The sequence below is a fragment of the Homo sapiens genome, chromosome 19 (genome assembly GCF_000001405.40).
Source record: "Homo sapiens chromosome 19, GRCh38.p14 Primary Assembly".
NCBI lineage: Eukaryota > Metazoa > Chordata > Mammalia > Primates > Hominidae > Homo > Homo sapiens.
In genome coordinates this window covers 11,169,080-11,191,883 of record NC_000019.10, presented here as the reverse complement: position 1 = coordinate 11,191,883, position 22,804 = coordinate 11,169,080, and the positions used below count along the sequence as shown (strand labels likewise).

At 51.2% G+C, this 22,804-nt stretch overlaps 1 protein-coding gene across 28 annotated transcripts in view, besides 3 other annotated features; it reads left to right on the top strand.

The window, feature by feature from the left end:
• The window catches only part of KANK2 (KN motif and ankyrin repeat domains 2), a 33,596-nt gene that overhangs the window by 5,982 nt on the left and 4,810 nt on the right, over positions 1-22,804 (top strand). For 17 of the 28 annotated variants that reach the window (XM_047438576.1, NM_001379562.1, NM_001379563.1 and 14 more), the window contains 8 exons: positions 13,164-13,331; positions 13,437-13,539; positions 15,067-15,306; positions 15,895-15,982; positions 17,192-17,411; positions 18,761-18,903; positions 21,636-21,836; positions 21,918-22,007. In XM_047438576.1, coding sequence (XP_047294532.1) covers positions 13,164-13,331; positions 13,437-13,539; positions 15,067-15,306; positions 15,895-15,982; positions 17,192-17,411; positions 18,761-18,903; positions 21,636-21,836; positions 21,918-22,007 — 1,253 coding nt within the window. Of the gene's footprint in view, positions 1-13,163; positions 13,332-13,412; positions 13,540-15,066; positions 15,307-15,894; positions 15,983-17,191; positions 17,412-18,760; positions 18,904-21,635; positions 21,837-21,917; positions 22,008-22,804 lie in introns of all 28 variants that reach the window. The other 11 variants (NM_001379552.1, NM_001379553.1, NM_001379554.1 and 8 more) reach the window with 1 other exon arrangement.
• Positions 359-408: a silencer, noted in NCBI's record as "silent region_10102". NCBI's record gives its function as "represses an Ori minimal core promoter by ATAC-STARR-seq in GM12878 lymphoblastoid cells {active_cell/tissue: GM12878}" and the evidence as "EXISTENCE:reporter gene assay evidence [ECO:0000049][PMID:35858748]".
• Positions 1,464-1,963: an enhancer, noted in NCBI's record as "H3K4me1 hESC enhancer chr19:11300597-11301096 (GRCh37/hg19 assembly coordinates)". NCBI's record gives its function as "activates a minimal SCP1, AML or CMV promoter by ChIP-STARR-seq in primed H9 embryonic stem cells {active_cell/tissue: H9 hESC(primed)}" and the evidence as "EXISTENCE:reporter gene assay evidence [ECO:0000049][PMID:30033119]".
• Positions 1,964-2,465: an enhancer, noted in NCBI's record as "H3K4me1 hESC enhancer chr19:11300095-11300596 (GRCh37/hg19 assembly coordinates)". NCBI's record gives its function as "activates a minimal SCP1, AML or CMV promoter by ChIP-STARR-seq in primed H9 embryonic stem cells {active_cell/tissue: H9 hESC(primed)}" and the evidence as "EXISTENCE:reporter gene assay evidence [ECO:0000049][PMID:30033119]".

Sequence of the window (22,804 nt, the reverse complement as noted above, 5' to 3'; positions counted from 1 at the left end):
GTCTTGTTATGTTGCCCAGGCTGGTCTCAAACTTCTGGGCTCAAATGATGCTCCTGTCTTGGCCTCCCAGAGTGCTGGGATTACAAGCATGAGCCACCACGCTGGCCTCAGTGCTCAGATATCATCAGGAATCTAACTTGGTGCCTTTCTCTTCTTGTTTTCCCTGGGAGCTTCTCTTTCAGGCAGGCAAGGGAAAGTGACCTCACTGCTCCAGGCATCTGTCTGTCCAGTTTAGTGGAGAGGGAGATCCTTAATCCAAAGAGCACCAGTAAAAATCCCAGAGGGGGCCCTCATTGGCTGGCCTGGGTCATGTGCCCATTGCTGAGCCAATCACGGTGTCCCTGTCTGCCTAGCCATGGACGCCGGGGGTAGGGGAGCCCCACCCAAGCCCTGTGGCCTTTGAGGGAGGAAGGGGGTGCTTCCCAGAGGAAGTACTGAGTCCTCATGCCAGGAAAGGGGATGCCGGCTGTGCAGAATGTCAGCTGCTGGGTTGTCCTGAGGTCCCTGGGAGAAGCCACCCAAATGACTCATAATAATGACAGCTGGGCCGGGCGCAGTGGCTCACGCCTGTAATCCCACACTTTGGAGGCCAAGGCAGGTGGATCGCTTGAGGCCAGGAGTTCAAGACCAGCCTGGCCAACACAGTGAAACCCCATCTCTATTAAAAATACAAAAATTAGCCGGGCGTGGTGGCGCACACCTGTAGTCCCAGCTACTCCGGAGGCTGAGGCAGGAGAATCGCTTGAACCCGGGAGGCGGAGGTTGCAGTGAGCCAAGATCACACCACTGCCCTCCAGCCTGGGCGACAGAGTGAAACTGTATCTCAAAATAATTAATAATAATAATGACAGCTGGCTGGGCACGGTGGCTCACGCCTGTAATCCCAGCACTTTGGGAGGCAGAGGCAGGCAGATCACTTGAGGCCAGGAGTTCAAGACCAGCCTGGCCAACATGGTGAAACCCTGTCTCTACTAAAAATACAAAAATTAGCCGGGCGTGGTGGCCGGCACCTGTAATCCCAGCTACTTGGGAGACTGAAGCACAAGAATCGCTTGAACTTGGGAGCCGGAGGTTGCAGTGAGCTGAGATTGTGCCACTGCACTCCAGCCTGGGCAACAGAGTGAAACTGTGTCTCAACAATAATAATGACAGCTGTTCTTCTGGAAACATGGTCAGGGAGGCTCTGCCAGGTGCGTTCAAACTCATGCTGTGTGATACTGGTGAGCAACATCACCTCTCTAGCCCTAAACGTCCCTATCTGTGAAGTGGCATGATAATGCTCTCCACCTCTAGAGAGGTGGAGAATTTATGAATTAATGCACACGGTTAAGTACTGGTTGCTGCTTCTGCTGATAATGTTCTGGTCAACCTGTTCATACCTGGGGAAACTGAGGCTTAGGGAGGAGATTCATTTGTCCTGTGTCACACAGCCAGGAAGTGGCTCAACTGAGCCAGTATCCAAACCCAGAACATCAGGCCTGTAATCCTAGCACTTTGGGAGGCCGAGGTGGGTGGATAACCTGAGCTCAGGGGTTCAAGACCAGCCTGGCCAATATGGCGAAACCCTGTCACTACTAAAAATACAAAAATTAGCTGGGCGTGTTGGCACACGCCTGTAGTCCTAGCTAGGCTAAGGGAGGAGAATTGCTTGAACCTAGGAGGCGGAGGTTGCATTGGGCCGAGGTCGCACCACTGCACTCTAGCCTGGATGACAGTGAGACTCCATCTCAAAAAAAAGAAAAGAAAAGAAAAAAGAAATAAATAACCAGGACAGCTTGAATCTGCAGCAGGGCTCGAAGGTAGGGCCCAAGTTCTCATCCCAGCCTCAAATGTCAGGTGGCCAGAGCCCCTACCAACAGACTGGAGGGCACAGGCTGGAGGGCAGGGACCCAGCTGTGTTTTCTCGCCGGCCCGTGTTGTTCCTGGCCAGCTCTGGACACCACCCGCCTGTTCTGTGTCTATCCCAAACACCAGGTCCTGAGGTTCTGGCCCCCTGCCAGAGGCTCCGCCTGGCCCAGCCTCGGAATCTCTGAGAGGCAACCACCATTCCAGACGTGCCTCCCAGAGCAGCTGAGAGGCCTTCTGCCTGCAGGACAAACAGACATAGCGATGTCCACCTTCTTTGCATTCAAGCTGCTGCCTGAAAGTTCTTCCTGGAGTCTCATTTTATTCCCTCTTGCTGCAGCCAGCCCCAATCTCTGCCTTGCTTGAGCCAAGCTGGAATGTCTTAATTCATTTCTATATCTTCCTTTTTTTTTTTTTTTTTTTTTTTTTTTTTTTGAGACAGAGTCTTGCTCTGTCGCCCAGGCTGGAGTGCAGTGATGCAATCTCGGCTCACTGCAACCCCCGCCTCCCGAGTTCAAGCGATTCTTCTGCCTCCGCCTCCCGAGTAGCTGGGATTACAGGCATGCACCACCATGACTGACTAATTTTTGTATTTTTAGTAGAGATGGGGTTTCACCATGTTGGTCAGGCTGGTCTCAAACTCCTGACCTCAGGTGATCCAACCTTCTCGGCCTTTGAGCAAGCGATGAAATCTCTCTATGCCTCAGTTTCCTCATTTGCAAATCGGGGGTCCTGATGGCACAGTGTCACTGGAATAATGTGAGGCTTTAATATGTCAATTCAGCCAGGCGCAGTGGCTTATGCCTGTAATCCTGGAGCTTTCGGAGGCCAAAACAGGAGGACTGCTTGAGCCCAGGGGGTCGAGGCTACAGTGAGTTGTGACCACGCCACTGTACTCCAGCCTGAGCAAGACCAATCTTGTGGGCGGGGGTGGGGGGGGAGAGAATCAATTCATGTCAAGTGTTCATCATGGTACCAGGCATGGTTGATACTTGGTGCCCAAGGTCAGCTCTTGGCCCTATAGCCTCTCAAAGGAGCATTTTTTTTTTTTTTTGAGATGGAGTCTTGCACTGCCACCCAGGCTGGTGTGCAATGGCGCTATCTCCGCTCACTGCAACCTCCACCTCCTGGGTTCAAACGATTCTCCTTGCCTCCACCTTCCAAGTAGCTGGGATTACAGGCACCCACCACCACACCCAGCTAATTTTCTTGTACTTTTAGTAGAGACGGGGTTTCACTATGTTGGCCAGGCTGGTCTTGAACTCCTAACCTTGTGGTCTGCCCGCCTCGGCCTCCCAAAGTGCTGGGATTACAGGCATGAGCCACGGCACCCACCCTCCAAGGAGCATCTTTGAATGAAGACATGAAAGAAGTCACCAGAAGAGGTGGAAAAAACAATGTTCCAGGGAGGAGCACAGCAGGGACAAAGGCCCTGAGATAAGCAAAGGCTCGGGCTTATCAAGGGGTTGAACAAACTGGAATGAGCTACCGCACCCAGCCTAAATTAAAAAAAAAAAAAAAAAGAATTTACATGGGCCGGGTGTGGTGGCTCATGCCTGTAATCCCAGAACTTTGGGAGGCCAAAGTGGGCAGATCACCTGAGGTCAGGAGCTCGAGACCAGCTTGGGCAACATGGCAAAAACCCCTACTAAAAATACAAAAATTAGCCAGGTGTGGTGGCACACACCTGTAATCCCAGCTACTTGGGAAGCTGAGACAGGAGAATCGCTTGAACCGGGGAGGCGGAAATTGCAGTGAGCTGAGCTCGCATTGCTGCACTCCAGCCTGGGCGACAGAGTGAGAGTGAGACTCCGTCTCAAAAAAAAAAAAAATTATTTTGGCCTTCAGGAGTCCAAAACTGAGTTCATCTCATTCCTCAGCTCCTGACAACCATCCACGTTAGCCTGTGCAGACCACTTCTCTTGTATTACTTATTATTTTTTCACCTTCAGCCTCCACCTTCAACCTTCAATGCTAAGGGTCAGTAAATATTTTCACTTTTGCAGGTCATACGGTCTCTATTGCATTGATTCAACTCTGCCTCAGTTCTTTTTTCCTCCCCACTTTATTTTTATTCCTTTCATCCTTTTTATTGAGATGAGGTCTCACTATGTTGCCAGATGAGGTCTCACTATGTTGCCCAGGCTGGTTTCGAACTCGGGGACTGAAGTGATCCTTCCACGTCGGCCTCCTAAATAGCTGGGATTGCAGGCGTGTGCCACCGTGCCCAGCTTTTTCTGATTTTATTGACGTATACTTAATATGCAAAAAAATGCACATATTTAATGTATACCTTTTTGAATTTGGTGCTTCAGGGCCTTCATTTTGCAGTTGCAAAAGCAGCCGTAGACAATATGGAAATGAACGAACGTGGCTGCGTTCCAATAAAACTTTATTTGCAGGACCCTGAAATTTCTATTTCACATACTTTTCATGAGTCCCAAATTAAATTCTTCTTTCCCATCCATTTAAAAATGTAAAAACAGCACCCACAGACTGAAGCTCACCACCCTCCGCTCTCCACCGTCAGTGCCACCCCCACCCCATCTAATCCCATTCCTTACAAACCACCTTCCAGAAACTTATTTAGACATTTGAGTGTCCTTGAAAAATATGCCTTGTGCGTGTTTCATTTCCTTAAATGGTGTTGTGCTTCAGAAAAAAATCTCTTTCTGTTTCTTATTTTTTCCTCTCCTTACACTATTTTTGAACTCTCCACACTGAGGTTTGTAAATCTGATTTATCACTTTTTATTTTCTTTTTTTTCTTCCTTTTTTCTTTTGAGATGGAATCTCGCTCTGTTGCCCAGGGTGGAGTGCAGTGGCGTGATCTCAGCTCACTGTAACCTCTGCCTCCCGGGTTCAAGCAATTCTCCTGCCTCAGCCTCCCAAGTAGCTGGGATTACAGATGCCCTGCTACCACGCCTGGCTAATTTTTGTATTTTTAGTAGAGACGGGGTTTCACCACGTTGGCCAGGCTGGTCTCGAACTCCTGACCTCATGATCTGTCCGCCTTGGCCTCCCAAAGTTCTGGGATTACAGGTGTGAGCCACCCCACCCACCTACCCTCTTCTCTAATCCCTTCACAGTAGGTATCTGGTTACTTCTAATTTCCGGCCACCACGAACAATGCTGGAGTCATCTTCACACGACCCCTTCTGTGGGACTGCCCATTCCTAGAGGATTTGCAACTTCACTCCAAGTCCTGTCTGATCCTTTCCAAAAAAGGCTGTCCCTATCCGCACTCCTAACACCGTGCTCCGGTTCAAGTTGTCCATTTTCTCATATCCTCACCAACATATGGCTTTATCTGTCTTTCTAATTTTTCTTCTTTTTTTTTGAGACAGAGTTTCACTCCTGTTGCCCAGGCTGGAGTGCAGTGGTGTGATCTTGGCTCACCGCAACCTCCACCTCCCGGGTTCAAGCGATTCTCCTGCCTCAGCCTCCCGAGTAGCTGAGATTACAGGCATGCGCCCCACCACGCCTGACTAATTTTGTAGTTTTAGCAGAGACGGGGTTTCTCCATGTTGGTCAGGCTCGTCTCCAACTCCTGACCTCAGTTGATCTGCCCGCCTTGGCCTCCCAAAGTGCTGGAATTAACAGGCGTGAGCCACCGCGCCTGGCCTCTTCTTTCTTTCTTTTTTTATTTGTTGAGACAGAGTCTTGCTCTGTTTCTCAGGCTGGAGTGCGGTGGCGCGATCTTGGCTCACTGCAACCTCCGCCTCCCAGGTTCAAGCGATTCTTGTGCCTCAGCATCTCTAGTAGCTGGGATTACAGGCACCCGCCACCACACCTGGCTGATTTTTGTATTTTTAGTAGAGACGGGGTTTCACCATGTTGGCCAGGCTGGTCTCAAACTCTCATCCTTAGGTGATCCACCCGCCTTGGCCTCCCAAAGTGCTGGGATTGCAGGTGTGAGCTACCACGCCCGGCCCTGTCTTTCTAATTTTTTTTATCCATCTGACAGCTGCTACATAATGGTATCTCCTCATTGTTTTGTTTGTTTTTTGAGACAGGGTCTCATTGTGTCACCCAGGCTGGAGTGCAGTGGCACAGTCACAGTTCACTGCAGCCTAAACCTCTCGGGCTCAAGTGATCCCTCCACCTCAGCCTCCTGAGTAGCTAGGACTAAAGGCAAGTGCCATCCCATTCAGGTAATTTTTTGTAGAGATGGGGTCTTGCTCTGTTGTTCAGGTTGGTCTCGAACTCCAGGGCTGAAGTGATCCACCTCAGCCTCCCAAAGCCCTGGGATTATAAATGCGAGCCTCGGAATTCAGCCCTCCTTATTGTTTTCATTGGCATAGCTCTGATAGGCAGTGAGAGATAGGGCTTCTCTGTGTATGCCTAATAAGGTTCCTCTGTAAGTCAATTACTTGTAGCCTTTCTCCATTTTTTCTCTGAGCAGTTTTTAGAAGTTGCTGGTATCTTCCAGAGTCAAAACTGGCAAACTACGGCCTGTGGGCCAGATACAGCCTGAAACCTGTTTTTCTACAACCCACAGCTAAGAATGATTTTTACGTTTTTTTTTAATGGTTGAATGATTTTAAAAATATATTTTGGGCCAAGTACAGTGGCTCACACCTGCAATCCCAGCACTTTGGGAGGCCAAGGCAGAAGGATCACTTGAGGCCAGGAGTTTGAGACCAGCCTGGGCAATATAGTGACACCCCATCTCTACTAATTAAAAATTAGTTTGGCATGGTGGCGTGCAGCTGTAGTCCCAGCTACTTGGGAGGCTGAGGCAGGAGGATTCCTTGAGCCCAGGAATTTTGTTGTTGTTGTTGTGGAGATGGGGTTCCACCATGTTGCCCAGGCTGGTCTCAAACTCCTGGGCTCAAGCGATCCACCCACCTCGGCCCCCCAAAGTGCTGGGATTACAGGCGTGAGCCACCATGCCCGGCAAGCCCAGGATTTTGAGGCTGCAGCAAGCTATGATTGGACTCCAGCCTGGGCAACAGAAGTTGCCTGAAGTAGACTGGGCGTGGTGGCTCAACTGAGGTCAGGAGGTCGAGACCACCCTGGCCAACATGGTGAAACCCATCTCTACAACAATACAAAAATTAGCCGAGCATGATGGCGGGTGCCTGTAATCCCAGCTACTCGGGAGGCTGAGGCAGGAGAATCACTTGACCTCGCGAGGCAGAGGTTGCTAGTGAGCTGAGATCACGCCATTGCCCTCCAGCCTGGGCAACAAGAGCGAGACTTCATCTCAAAAAAAAAAAAGAAAAAAAAGAAGTTCCCTGAAGTCACTGCCTGCTTCTCTGTTGGGGCAGAATGGGATTTAGGCGCTGCTCTAGTTTATTTATTGATTTTTTTTTTTCACATTAAAAAAAAAGTAGAGTCTTGCCCTGTCTCAAAAAAAATATTTCTTGACATGACAAGATTATGTGAAATTCAAACTTATTGGATACAGCCACGCGGAATCACTTACATACTGTCTGTGACTGGTTTTGTGTTAGAACTATGCCACAGTTGAGCAGTTGCAACCGAGTCCTTATGTGTGACGTAACCAAAAATGTTTGCTATCTAGCCCTTCCCAGGTTTGTTGACCCTGTTCTAGAAGATTATCCCTTGCCAATTTTTGCCTGTGCCAAACTCCGGCACTCCCCCACCGCACCCATGAGGATCTCAGAGGTCTTCATTTTTGTTTTTGTTTTTGTTTTTGAGACAGAGTTTCGCTCTGTCATCCAGGCTGGAGTGCAGTGGCACGATCTCGGCTCACTGCAACCTCTGCCTCCCAGGTTCAAGCAATTCTCCTGCCTCATCCTCCCGAGTAGCTGGGATTACAGGTGCCTGCCAGCATACTCTGCTAATTTTTGTATTATCAGTAGAGACTGGGTTTCACCATGTTGGCCAGGCTGATCTCGAACTCCTGACTCAAGTGATCCGCCCACCTTGGCCTCCCAAAGTGTTGGGATTACAGGCATGAGCCACCATGCCTGGCCAGAAGTCTTCATTTTGAATATAGGTAAAACCATTATATTTTGCATATGTGGATTGTGCTTGGAAGAATTTTTAAAAGAATCTTAACTGGGCACATTGACTCACACCTGTAATCTCAACACTTTGGTGGGAAAATTGCTTTGAGCCCAGGAGTTCCAGGCCAGCCTAGGTAACATAGTAAGACCCCCATCTCTACAAAAAATACAAAAATTGGCCAGGAGTTCAAGACCAGCCTTGCCAACATAGTGAAACCCCATCTCTACTAAAAATACAAAAAAATTAGCTGGGCATGGTAGCGGGCACTTGTAATCCCAGCTACTCGGGAGGCTGAGGCAGGAGAATCACTTGAATCAGGGAGGCGAAAGTTGCAGTGAGCTGAGATGGCTCCACTCCACTTCAGCCTGGGGTGACAATGCGAGACTCTCTCAAAAAAAAAAAAAATTAGCTGGGCATGGTGGTGCATGCCTGTAGTCCCAGCTACTCGGGAGGCTGAAGTGGGAGGATCACTTGAGCCGAGGAGTTCGAAGCTGGAATGAGCTGTGATCACGCCACTGCGCTCCAGCCTGGACAACAGAGTGAGACTGTGTCACTGGATGAATGAATGAATGAATGAATCTTTCCCTTTCCTGAGTCCCTGATAGTCTGCTACATTATCTCCCTTTAGCTTTGTAGTTGTACCTTCATCTTAATTCTTCACAGTTTCTTTCTTGTGTATGCTATGAGATAGAGATCCAGCTTGGCTCTTCTCATGTAAAGTAAGCTGCTTCTCCTAAAACCACACCACAGAATCCACCGTCTCCCACTGGCTTGGGGAAACCCCCTCTGTCTTACCCTCAGTGCCCAGAGATTGGAGCCTGTCTTCTCTGTCCCATTGGTCCATTTATTAATGCAAAAATGCCCTGCTGTTCTCATGGTTGTAGCTTTGAAATATGTTTTACTCTCTCACAGACCAACTACTCCATCTGTGCTCTTGTTTTGTAGAATTGTCTTAGCTTATCAATGGACTTTAGTTCTTTTGTGTAAATTTTAGTGTCAGTTGGCCCCATTCCCCAGTGGGATAACAATAATAAGTATCATCAATTTTATTATTACTTCTTGTTATGCTAGCATTCCAAGTCTAACCTTCAATTCCTTAGACTGGAAGGAGCCATCCCAGGTTTTGAAGTCACTGCCTGCTTTTCTGTTGGGGCGGAGTGGGCTTTGGTTCTGCTCTAGTTTGTTTGATTTTTTTTACTTTTTTTTTTTTTTTTTTTTTTGAGGCAGTCTGACTCTGTCACCCAGGCTGGAGTGCAGTGGCATAATATCGGCTCACTGCAAGCTCTGCCTCCTGGGTTCAAGCGATTCTCCTGCCTCAGCCTCCCAAGTACCTGGGACTACAGGCACGTGCCACCATGCCTTCCTAATTTTTTATATTTTTAGTAGAGATGGGGTTTCACCGTGTTAGCCAGGATGGTCTCGATCTCCTAACCTTGTGATTGGCCTGCCTTGGCCTCCCAAAGTCCTGGGGTTACAATCGTGAGCCACCGCGCCTGGCTTTTTTGTTTTGTTTTGTTTTTTTGTTTTTTTTTTTAAAGATAGGGTCTCACTCCGTCACCCAGGCTGGAGTGCAGCAGTGCTGTCATAGCTCAATGTAACTTCAAACTCCCGGGCTCAAGCAATCTTTTCATCTCAGCCAAGTATAGTCCCAAGTAGTTAGAACTATAGGCGCACTCCACCACACCTGGCTAACTTTTTAATTTTTTGCAGAGATAGAGTCTTGCTATGTTGCCCAGGCTGGTCTTGAACTCCTGGCCTCAAGCGATCCTCCTGCCTCAGCCTCTCAAATTTTTTCGCCATTTACAATATTGTGGTAACATAGATAGAACATAAAATTTGGCATCTGGCCGGGCGTGTTGGCTTAAGCCTGTAATCCCAGCACTTTGGGAGGCTGAGGCGGGTGGATCACTGGAGATTGGGAGTTCAAGACCAGCCTGGCCAACATGGCAAAACCCCATCTCTACTAAAAATATAAATTAGCCAGGCATGGTGGCACACACCTGTAATCCCAGCTACTCAGGAGGCTGAGGCAGGAGAATCGCTTGAACCCAGGAGGCAGAGGTTGCAGTGAGCCAAGATCGCATCACTGCACTCCAACCTGGATGACAAAGCAAGACTCCGTCTCAAAAAAAAAAAAAAAAAAATTAACCATCTTATCCATGTTTGAGTATGTAATTCAGTGGCATTAAGTACATTTGCATCATTTTTTTGTTTGTTTGTTTTTTCTTGTATTTGTTGGGGATAGGATCTCCCTATGTTGCCCAAGCTGGTCTCACACTCCTGGGCTCAAGTGATCCTCCCCCTTCAGCCTCCCAAAGTCCTGGGATTATAGGTGTGAGCCACTATGTCCAGCCCATTCACACTGTTGCGCAACTGTCACCATCATCCATCTTTAGAACTTTCTCATCTTTCCAAACTGAAACTGTCCCCATTAAACACACTTCCCATTCTCCTTCCCCCAGCCCCTGGCACCCACCATTCTATTTTCTGTCTGTTTAAATCTGATAATTCTAGGGCTGGGCGCAGTGGTTCCCACCTGTAACCCCAGCACTTTCGGAGGCGGAGGCAGATGGATCACTTGAGGTCAGGAGTTCAAGATCACCCTGGCCAACATGGTGAAACCTTGTCTCTAGTAAAAATACAAAAATTAGCCGGGCATGGTGGTTGGCTCCTGTAATCCCAACTATTCAGGAGGCTGAGGCAGGAGAATCACTTGAACCTGGGAGGCAGAGGTTGCAGTGAGCCGAGATCACGCCACTGCCCTCCAGCCTGGACGATGGAGAAAGACTGTATCAAATAATAATAATAATAATAATAATAATAAATCTTGACAACTCTAGGGAACTCCTGTGAATCAAATCATGCAATGTTTTTGTCCCTTTTGCATCTGGCTTCTTTCACTTAGCATAATATTGCTCCACCTCATTTTTTGGCTCTCCCAGAATTTTTTTTTTTTTTTTTTTTTTTTTTTTGGAGACAAGAGTCTCGCTCTATCCCCCAGGCTGGAGTGCAGTGGCATGATCTCGGCTCACTGCAACCTCCGCCTTCCGGGTTCAAGCGATTGTCCTGCCTCAGCCTCCCAAATAGATGGGATCACAAATGTCTACCACCATGCCTGGCTAATTGTTATATTTTTAGTAGAGACGGGGTTTTGCCATGTTGGCCAGGCTGGTCTCTTAATTCCTGACTTCAAGTGACCCACCCACCTCAGCCTCCCAAGGTGCTGGGATTACAAGCGTGAGCTACTGCGCCCGGCCTCTCCAGGATTTCAAGTTAGGCGCCCTGCATTTTGGGCAGAGATTGAGATTGTGAATCTGTCTCCTGGCCATGCAGTATGTTTGTTTGTTTCACGTGAATTTATTGCCAAGTTTAAAAAGAAAAATCATAGAGGGACATAGCAACTGGCGTTTGCTCTCGCTCAGTTCCCCACTCATGAGTTCAAGCCTTGGCTCTGGCATGGTTTTTATGTTTTCTGTGGTATGAGCTGGCCACACCCTGGTCTGGGGATGCTGTTGGCCATGCCGATGACCGAGTGTCTCATGCAGCCGGCCCTGTCTATGTTACTCTTTGCCTATGTCCAGCATTTGGTCACCGTTCTGTACTAAAGTTGAATATTGCCTGTGGGCCTCAGGAAGTCACTGTATATGGCAAAAAAAAAAAATTTAAGGCTGGGCATAGTGGCTCATGCCTATAATCCCAGCTATGCGAGAGGCTGAGGTGGGAGGATCCCTTGCGCTCTGGAGTTCTAGAGCAGCCTGGACAATATAACAAGACCCTGTCACAAAGAAAAAAACCCCAACAACCTTTTTAGCCATTAAAGGGAATTCAAATTAATTGGTCTTCAGAGTTGGCGCCCCGGGGGACAGGAAGGGGAACCCCCGAGGAAATGCTGACACAGAAACCATGCATGGGCTGGGCGGTGCTGCTCCGGAGGTAATCCCAGCACTTTGGAAGGCGGATCACTTGAGCTCAGGAGTTCAAGACCAGCCTGGGCAATATAGTGAAACCCCATCTCTACAAACATTACAGAAAATTAGCTGGGCACAGTGGCATGCGCCTTTACTGCCTGCCGCTCAGGGGGCTGAGGCAGGAGAATCACTTGAATCCGGGAGGCACAGGTTACAGTGAGCCAAGATCGCATCTCTGCACTCAAGCTTCAGTGAAGGGAGTGAAACCCTGTCTTACAAAGCAGCCATATGTGGCCCAGGGGGACCTGAGTGGATTCCAAGACATTGGTGGCTACACAAAAAGGAAACTGGACTTTTATTCCACGCTGTTGGCTGGCAGTCCAGGACCTCAGCATCCAGGAAGTCACCTTTGTCCTCAGACCAACCTGGGTGGGTGTTTTTTGTTGTCTTTTGTTTTCTTTTGTTTCGTTTCGTTTTTTTAGTCAGGATGTGTTTTTTTTTTTTATTTTTTATTTTCAGGACAGTCTCTCTCTGTTACCCAGGCTGGAGTGCAGTGGTGTGATCTCTGCTCACTGCAACCTCTGCCTCCCGGGTTCAAGCAATTCTCCTGCCTCAGCCTCCTGAGTAGCTGGGATTACAGGCATCCCCCCACCACGCCCAGCTAATTTTTGTATATTTAGTAGAGATGGGGTTTCACCATGTTGGCCAGGCTGGTCTTGAACTCCTGACCTCGTGATCTGCCCGCCTCAGCCTCCTAAAGTACTGGGATTACAGGCATGAGCCACTGTGCCTGGCCACCAAGACGTGTTTTTATCTCTGATTTTTTTTTTTTTTTGAGAGGCAGGGTCTTGCTCTGTTGCCCAGGCTGGAGTGCATTGGCGTGATCTCTGCTCACTGCAACCTCCGCCTCCCGGGTTCAAGCAATTCTCCTGCCTCAGCATCCTGAGTGGCTGGAACGACAGGTGTGCACCACCACGCCCGGCTAATTTTTCTATTTTTAGTGGAGACGGGATTTCACCATGTTAGCCAGGCTGGTCTCGAACTTCTGATCTCAGGGGATTCGCCCGCCTCAGCCTCCCAAAGTGCTGGGATTACAGGCATGAGTCACCGTGCCCGGCCAAACCTTATTTTTAGCGATCACTCAGGCTCGAGCCAGGAATATGGGGCCACAGGGTTGTCCCTGTCCCTGACTAGCTGCTGGGCAGGCACCAAACTGGATTCTGCCACCTGCTCAAGGGGTTACCTTGGCAGCTCTGTGCCTCAGTTTCCTCATCTGTAATAATCCGATTTCCCTCCAAGGGGCAGGAAGACTGGATGTGGTAACACAAAAATCAGCCCTGTTACAGCTCCTGGCCCAGGGTGTATGACCCGCAGGGCTGTGGTGGTTTGGCTTTTATGACCAAGAGCAGACACTCATTTCCTGTCCCTCCAGGCCTCCCAGAAGTTCCTGCCGAATCGTCTTCGTCACCCCCGGGGTCCGAGGTAGCCTCCCTTACACAGCCTGAGAAGAGCACAGGCCGAGTGCCCACCCAGGAGCCCACCCACAGGGAGCCCACCAGGCAAGCAGCCTCCCAAGAGTCCGAGGAGGCCGGGGGCACCGGTAAGTGGTGGGTGGCCGCCAAGAGGGACGGGGCACCGGGATGGCGCCAGTTCGGAGTCTGGCCCTGAAGGACTCTCACAGCACCTCCGCTGTCCTCCCCTCCAGGCGGGCCCCCGGCAGGCGTGCGATCTATCATGAAACGGAAAGAGGAGGTTGCAGACCCCACGGCCCACCGGAGGAGCCTCCAGTTCGTGGGGGTCAACGGCGGGTGAGAGGAGAAGACCCCACCCCCCACCCCATACTTCCCGCCCCTCCTCCATTCATCCACGCACGAGAGCCTCCTAATTACCTCATTCTGAGCTCCTTGCTTTGGTTAATTCGTTTAATCAAACCACAACACAGAGATGAGGAAACTGAGGCATAGGAAGGCTAAGCGCATTTCTGGAGCTCACTCAGTGACCCAGGAGTCAGCCCTGCGTGCCCTGGCTCAAGAGCTCAAGGTGTAACCACTGCACAGCTCTACCCCACAGAAGGTGCCGGACGCCGCTTCCTGCCCTGATAGAGCTCCTGGTCCAGTGGGGAGCTGGGTGCTGATGGGTGGTTGGAGCCGTGATGGGGAACACTCAGGTGGTGCAGGTCCTCAAGAAAGACACAGGTGGCCCTAGGGGAGTCCCAGAAGGAGGAGACACAGGTGGTACGGGAGAAGTAGGAGCTAGCAAGGTGAAGAGAGGGTGTGGGGAGGGCTCTTCTGGCAGGGGCACAGCGTGGGTAAAGGCTCAGAGGTGGGAAAGCAGAGTGACACGAGAAGTGGGAGGTGCAGGGAGTGATGGTTGGTTTGGGGCCTTGAATGCCGAGCCTAGAAGCTTGATTAGGTTTTGTCCAGAGCCAGCAAGAAACACGAGAGAGCCCTATTTGCAGTGGAACAGGAGTCTGAATCACCTGTGTTAAAAGGGCTAGAAGTGGCCGGGCGCGGTGGCTCACATCTGTAATCCCAGCACTTTGGGAGGCTGAGGCGGGTGGATCACTTGAGTTCAGGAGTTCGAGACAAGCCTGGCCAACATGGTGAAACTCCATCTCTACTAAAAATACAAAAAATAGCTGGGTGTGGTGGGTGCCTGCAGTCCCAGCTACTTGGGAGGCTGAGGCAGGAGAATCGCTTGAACCCAGGAGACAGAGGTTGCAGTGAACTGAGATTACACCATTGCACTCTAGCCTGGGCGACAGAGCGAGACTCCGTCTCAAAAAAAAATGGCTAGAGGTGGCTGTGCGCAATGGCTCACACCTGTAAACCCAGTTCGAGATCAGCCTGGCCAACATGGCAACATGGCGAAACCCCGACTCTACTAAAAAATACAAAAATTAGCCGAGCACAGTGGTGCAAACCTGTAGTCCCAGGTATTTGGAAGGCTCAGGCAGAAGAATTGCTTGAACCCAGGAGGCAGAGTTTGCAGTGAGTGCCACTGTACTCCAGCCTGGGCAACAGAGCAAGACTCCATCTCAAAAAAAAAAAAAAAAAAAAGGAGGGTGAGTATGCTAGAAGTGTCAAAAGGCAGGAGGTGAAAAGCAGTGCCCCTCCCCCCGAGCATGATCATAATCACTGCTAATGTTTATTGAGCGCTTACTGTGTGCCAGTTGCTGTAAACCACATCCCACAACCCTGGAATGTCAATACTGCCATTGAACAGATGGGGAAGCTGAGGCCCACAGAGGTCAGATCACCAGATCCCTGCCTTCCTTTCCCACCATTTCTCATCCCACCTGCAGCATCTCCCCCTCCCCGCTCGTTCCTCCCCAGGTATGAGTCGTCATCCGAGGACTCCAGCACAGCAGAGAACATCTCAGACAACGACAGCACAGAGAACGAGGCCCCAGAGCCGAGGGAGAGGGTTCCGAGTGTGGCCGAAGCCCCCCAGCTCAGGCCTGCAGGGACGGCAGCGGCCAAGACCAGCCGGCAGGAGTGTCAGCTGTCTCGAGAATCTCAGCACATACCCACTGCTGAGGGGGCATCAGGATCAAACACGGAGGAGGAGATCAGGTCAGTTTTCTGGGTAGGAGGGATTCAGGCAGGGCCGGGGGTGGATGACCTCTGCCTCAAACCCCCACCGTTCAAGCCCTTTGAAGGACCCTCCTATCAGTCATGCACACTTTAGTCTGAATTAGCAAACGAGCACTTGCTCCTTCTGGGCATCTGAAGTTCTGGAGGCTTTGCTAAAGGGCCTGGTGGAACTATTTTGGGCTGCCGGGGTTAGGATTTAGGGGACCAGCCAAAGTTTATCCCAAAATCACCCACCTACTTTGGGACGTTTCCTCTACCTGTCTGTTCTATTTATGTCTCTTTTTTATTCCCCTGGTGAAAAAATTTGCCCTTGGGAAATATTTTCCATCTGCCAGTGGGCATTTGGAATAAACTTTGGCTTGTGTGTCCACTCTCCCTTGGGGGTCTGCATGTTCCCCACAGCTGCCCCTTGGGGTGCAATGTAAATGTGTGTCCCGGGTGAAGGAGGGTCTGAGATGCCACCATTCAGGTGACCCTATTGTGAGTGACGTGGTGCAGAATGTCAAGTCCCTTCCCAGGCACCGCAGCGGGGCTTACTTAGTTCCCCGCTTTGTCTGTTCCTGGCAGGATGGAGCTAAGCCCTGACCTCATCTCAGCCTGCTTGGCCCTGGAAAAGTACCTGGACAATCCCAACGCCCTCACAGAGCGGGAGCTGGTACGATCTGGCCCTGGGCCTAGGTTGGCCACCCCCCGGACCCCTACCTCCACCCCACCCGTGGCCTCTCCTCATCCTCAGTGACTTCCTGCTCCTGCCTAGTGGGGACCCTGACACTGAAGCCCAGAGCATGGGGGTGGTGGTGCTCAAGTCATGGGCCTCGGAGAGAGGCCAGGGAGATGGGGAGAGGCTGGAGGATGAACACTCACTGGCCAAGCCTGGCCTTGGGTTCCTGTTCTTCCTGGGGGCTTCAGGGGCGGGGCACCCAGATTTCCCTTTTTGGGCATCTACACTTGACTTTGGCGATTATAACCAGGGCTGGGCGCAGTGGCTCATGCCTGTCATCCTGGTGCTTTGGGAGGCCAAGGCAGGAGGATCGCTTGAGGCCAGGAGTTCAAGACCAGCCTGGGCAACATAGTGAGACCCCATTTCTACAAAAAAATTCTTTTTTTTTTTTTTTTTTTTTTTTTTTTTGAGAGGGAGTCTTGCTCTGTCACCCAGGCTGGAGTGCAGTGGTGCGATCTCAGCTCACTGTAACCTCTGCCTCCCAGGTTCAAGCAATTCTCCTGCCTCAACCTCCCAAGTAGCTGGGACTATAGGCATGTGCCACCACGTCTGGCTAATTTTTTGTATTTTGAGTAGAGATGGGGTTTCACCATGTTGGGCAGGATGGTCTCGAACTCGTGACCTCAAGTGATCCGCTCACCCTGGCCTCCCAAAGTGCTGGGATTACAGGCGTGAACCACTGCACTCAGCCTCTACAAATTGTTTTAAAAATTAGCTAGGCATAGTGGTGCACGCCTGTGGTCCCAGCTACTTGGGAGGCAGAGGCGGGAGGATAGCTTGAGCCTAGGAGGTTGAGGCTGCAGTGAGTCCTGATCATGTAACTGCACTCCAGCCTAGGCAACAGAGCGAGACTCTGTCTCACAAAAAAAAAAAAAAAAGAGAGAGAGAGAAATTATATCCAGGGTGGAGGTGCTCACACCTTCCTTGGGGAACGTGTTGGGGATTGCAAAGTCCACACCTCACTCCAAGGGTCTTATTGGGACAGAGATGTCTACACTTCCCTTTGGGAGGGTCTGCACTTCCCTTGAGATCGTTTTCCAGGACAAGGGCACCACGCTTTGCTCCGGGGGCGCATCTGGGGTGGGGGGTGTCCCAGTGGGCCTCCCCCGCCCTCACATCCTCTCCCACCTGACTCGCATGCAGAAAGTGGCCTACACCACAGTGCTGCAGGAGTGGCTGCGCCTGGCCTGCCGCAGCGACGCACACCCCGAGCTGGTGCGGCGGCACCTGGTCACGTTCCGGGCCATGTCTGCGCGGCTGCTGGACTACGTGGTCAACATCGCCGACAGCAACGGCAACACAGCCCTGCACTACTCCGTGTCTCATGCCAACTTCCCCGTGGTGCAGCAGCTGCTCGACAGCGGTGAGCCCAGCGGGGAGGACGAGGCGGCTCTAAACCAGCCAGCTGTCCGCCATGCCCAGTCTGATAGGGAAGACACTGCCCTCCCCATCTGATGGGGAAGATGATGGAGGAGACGCGGCCTTCTCAGTATAATAGAGGGAACACCTCTCTCCCAGTCTGATGTGGCAGATGCCACCTTCCGATTGGATGTGGAGGGACACCAGCCTTCCAGTTTGATAGAGGAGACGGCACCTTCCCAGTTCAATGGGGTGGGGTATATGGCCCTCCCAGTCTGATGGAGGAGATGCCGCCCTCCCAGTCTGATGGAGGAGATGCCACCCTCCCAGGCTGATGGAGGAGACACCTTCCCAGTTCATTGTGGTGGGGATGTGGCCCTCCTAGTCTGATGGAGGAGATGCTGCCTCCCCAGTCTGATGGGGGAAATGTGACTTTCCCAGTTTGATATGGGAGATGCCACCCTTCCAGTCTGATGGGGGGGGCACCACCCTCCCAGGCTGATGGAGGAGACACCACCTGCCTAGTTTAATGGAGGAGACATCATCTTCCCGGTTCATTGTTGGGGGAATGTGGCCCTCCCAGTCTGATAGAGGAGACGCTGTCTTCCCAGTCAAATGGCAGAGACACCACCCTCCTAGTCTAATGAGTGAGACACCACCTTCCCAGTCTAACGAGGGAGACATGACTCTCCTAGTCTGATAGCAGAGACTCTACCCTCCTGGTCTTATGGGGGAGATGCTGTCCTCCCAGTCTGATGGAGGAGACACTTCCTTCCCAGTCTGGTGGGGGAGGCACGGGCCCTACCTTTAGCCAGCATAATGGAAAAGGCAGAAGTGATGTTAGGGAAACGTGTGAACCTAACACGCCTGCATGATGGAGGTGACATCTCTGGAGCCCTGGTCTAAGAGAGGGATGCGTCCTCAAGTCTGGGGCTTGGAAAGAAGACGTGGTCCTCAGTTAGTAAGAAACTTGCCCTTCCCTCTCCTACTGGGGGAGACAGCCTCCCGGGCTGATGAAGGACTCAGGGCCCACAATCTGATGGGGGAGACATGGGCCAGTCTGAGGGTAAATGGCTGTTCCAAAATTAACAGGGGAGACCCAGTTTCTATTCTCAGCCCTAAATATAGATGCCAGCATCAGGGGCCCCAAATCTGATGGAGGAGGAACTGTCTCCAACTTTAGGAGCCCCAGGTCTAATGGAGATGGAGACCTCTAGGGCAGAGTGGGGTCCTCTGAGAAAAGGGAGGGATTAGGGCATGCCTAGACTGATGGACGAGACGTGGTATCCACGTTCCTTGGGGCAGTCCACTAGCAGCGATCCCTGGTCTGAGGGTTCACACCATGTCTCTTAGGTGTCTGCAAGGTGGACAAACAGAACCGTGCTGGCTACAGCCCTATTATGCTCACCGCCCTGGCCACCCTGAAGACCCAGGACGACATCGAGACTGTCCTTCAGCTCTTCCGGCTTGGCAACATCAATGCCAAAGCCAGCCAGGTATGGGGACCCCGGCTGCTGCAGATCCAGGTGGCTCTTCCTACTTTATGACATCCCAGCTGAGTGACAGGCCCAAACCCAGGTGGTCTAACTCCAGAGCCCTGCTCTTCATGGCCAGGCTGTCTCTGACACAGGACCTTCTTGTGGAAACTAGAAGGAGTAGAGGATATGAGGGTCCTTACCTTTCTTAATATGACCCCATCCCACATCCTGCTGGACAGTTCATTGAGCAGCAGCTGGGTTCCCTGGGCCGAAAACTGGGGACTGAAATGGCGAACAAGCAGGCATGGTCTCCTGAAGCTCACTAGCCCGTTCTTCAAGCCATAAGCATTTTAGGGAGCACCGGGACTCAAGCCAGTTTGGACTCAGGGCTGCAGGAAACCGCCAGGGGAATTTAGGCAGGGAAGTGGCGTGGCCTGATTCCTGGTTTGAGCGCTCCCTTCAGCTGTGTGTTGGGAAGCAGAAACAGGCACTGTGGAGGTGACTGGGGCTTATGAACAGGTGTCTGGGCAAAAGAGCAGGGAAGCCAGGACCCACTGAGGACAGTGAGGAGGAGAGGGATCGTCAACAGTCTGAAGACAGCAAAGGAACAAAATGGAGCTGTGACGGGGCATAACAGGCATGATCCTGCCTTATCTTTATTGATTTAATTTTGTTTTAATTTCCAAGAAATTTTTTTAGTGGCTTCATTTTCAAAAAATTAAGGCCAGGCGCCATGGCTCATGCCTATAATCCCAGCACTGTGGGAGGCTGAGGTGGGTGGATCACCTGAGGTCAGAAGTTCAAGACCAGCCTGACCAACATGGTGAAACCCTGCCTTTACTAAAAAATTAAAAAATTAGCTGGGCGTGGTGGCACGTGCCTATAATCCCAGCCACTCGGGAGGCTGAGGCAGGAGAATCGCTTGAACCTGGGAGGTGGAAGTTGCAGTGAGCTGAGATCGCACCACTGTCCTCCAGCCTGGGCTACAGAGTGAGACTCTGTCTCAAAAAAAAAAAAAAAAAATTAGCCGGGTGCGGTGGCTCATGCCTGTAATCCCAGCACTTTGGGAGGCCAAAGTGGGCAGATCACGAGGTCAGTAGTTTGAGACCAGCCTAATCAACATGGTGAAACCCCATCTCTACTAAAAAAAATATATAAAAATTAGCTGGGCATGGTGGCATGTGCCTGTAATCCCAGCTACTCAAGGCAGGAGAATCGCTTGAACCCAGGAGGCGGAGGTTGCAGTGAGCCGAGATCGCACCACTGCACTCCAGCCTGGGTGACAGAGTGAGACTCCATCTCAAAAAAAAAAAAATTAAGGTGAGGCTCACCAAGGTGGCTCATGCCTGTAACCCCAGCACTTTGAGAGAACAAAGCGGGATAAATTGCTTGAGGTCAGGAGTTCCAGACCAGCCTGGGGAACCTAGAGACACCCCCCCACCCCCACCTCCTCTCTATTAAAAAAAAAAAGAAGGTGAAATTCACAAAACATAAGATTAACTCCTTTATTTCTAACTTTTTATTTTATTTTATCTCTATTTTTTATTTTTTTGAGACAGGGTCTCACTGTGTCACCCAGGCTGGAGTGCAGTGGTGCAATCACAGCTGACTGCAGCCTTGACCTCCCATGCTCAAACAGTCCTCCAACCTCAGGCCACCAAGTAGCTGGGACTGCAAGCGTGCGGCACCATGCCCGGCTAATTTTTTTTTAGAGTTGGGGTTTTGCCAAGTTGTCCAGGCTGTATTTTATTAATTTTATTTTTTACTAGAGACATGGTCTCGCTATGTTGCCCAGACTGATCTCTAACTCCTGGGGTCAAGCAGTCCTCCCACCTCGGCCTCCCAAAGTGCCAGGATTACAGGCGTAAGCCACAGTGCCCAGAATTAACCCTTTTAGGCTGGGCACGATGGCTCACGCCTGTAAACCTAGGCGGGCGGATCACGAGGTGAAGAGATTGAGACCATCCTGGCCAACATGGTGAAACTCTGTCTCTACTAAAAATACAAAAATTAGCTGGGCGTAGTGGCACACGCCTGTAATCTCAGCTACTCAGGAGGCTGAGGCAGGAGAGTTGCTTGGACCCAGGAGGTGGAGGTTGCAGTGAGCCGAGATTGCGCCACTGCACTCCAGCCTGGTGACAGAGCGAGACGCCATCTCCAAAAAAAAATAATTAACCCTTTTAAAGGAACAATTAGCCTGGGCAACATGGCAAAACCCTATCTATACAAAAGATACAAAAATTAGCCAGGCATTGTGGCGCATGCCTGTAGTCTCAGCTACTCGGGAGGCTGAGGTGGGAGGATCACCTGAGCCTGGGGAGGTTGAGGCTGCAGTGAGCTGCGATCGTGCCACTGCACGCCAACCTGGGCAACAGAGCAAGACCCTGTCTCTAAAATAAAGCAAAACAAAACCAAAAGCACTACTGGCATGAAATACATTCACCCTGTTGTGCAACCAACACCTCCGTCTAGTTCCAGAACGTTCTCTTCACCCCCAAAGGAAACCTGTATCCATCATTTCCTCCGCCCCCGCTTCTCCCAGCCTCTGGCAACCACTCATCCGCTTTCTGTCTCTGTGGATTTATTACTCCCCTGGTGACGGGAGGGTTGTTTGAGATTCAGGAGGAGATCAGCAAGTTGAGGGTACATTTCACCATCAGAGTATGTGGGAGCTACAGCAGGTTCTAGACCAGGGGGTGTCCTGCCCTGGGGCCTGCATGAACCATAATCCTGTTCCTTGCCCTCCCCAGGCAGGACAGACGGCCCTGATGCTGGCCGTCAGCCACGGGCGGGTGGACGTTGTCAAAGCCCTGCTGGCCTGTGAGGCAGATGTCAACGTGCAAGATGATGACGGCTCCACGGCCCTCATGTGCGCCTGTGAGCACGGCCACAAGGAGATCGCGGGGCTGCTGCTGGCCGTGCCCAGCTGTGACATCTCACTCACAGATCGCGTGAGTCTCCAACCAGGTGCACCCCGGGGAGGGCGGGAGCACAGCATGGGGACGTCATTCATAGCACCGGATACTTTGCAGGATGGGAGCACAGCTCTGATGGTGGCCTTGGACGCAGGGCAGAGTGAGATTGCGTCCATGCTGTATTCCCGCATGAACATCAAGTGCTCGGTGAGTCTCAATCCGGCCGGGTAGGCACGGGATGGGTGGGTCTCTGAAAGGACAGAGATTTGTTGTTTTTGTTTTTGAGGCAGAGTCTCACTCTGTCGCCCAGGGTGGAGTGCGGTGGCACGATCTGGGCTCATTGCAACCTCCGCCTCCCGGCTTCAAGCCATTCTGCTGCCTCAGCCTCCTGAGTAGCTGGGATAACAGGTGTGCACCACCACACCCGGCTAATTTTTGTATTTTTAGTAGAGACGGGGTTTCACCATGATGGTCAGGCTGGTCTCAAACTCCTGACCTCGTGATCCACCTGCCTTAGCCTCCCAAAGTGCTGGGATTACAGGTATGAGCCACCATGCCTGGTCTTGTTTTTGTTTTCAGACTGGGTCTTACTCTGTCACCAAGGCTGGAGTGCAGTGGCACAATTAAAGCTCACTGCAAACTCCACTTCCTGGGCTCAAGTGATCCTTTCACCTCAGCCTCCTGAGTAGTTGGGACTACAGGCGCACGTCACCACACCTGGCTGAGTTTTTTTTGTTTTGTTTTTTGAGACAAAGTCTTGTTCTATCACCCAGGCTGGAGTACAGTGGCACAATCTTGGCTCACTGTAACCTGTATCTCCCAGGTTCGAGCAATTCTCCTGCCTCAGTCTCCAAAGTAGCTGGGATTACAGGTGCACACCACCATGCCCGGCTAATTTTTGTATTTTTAGTAGAGATGGGATTTCACTGTGTTGGCCAGGCTGGTCTTGAACTCCTGAGCTCAAGTGATCTGCCCGCCTCTGCCTCCCAAAGTGCTGGGATTAC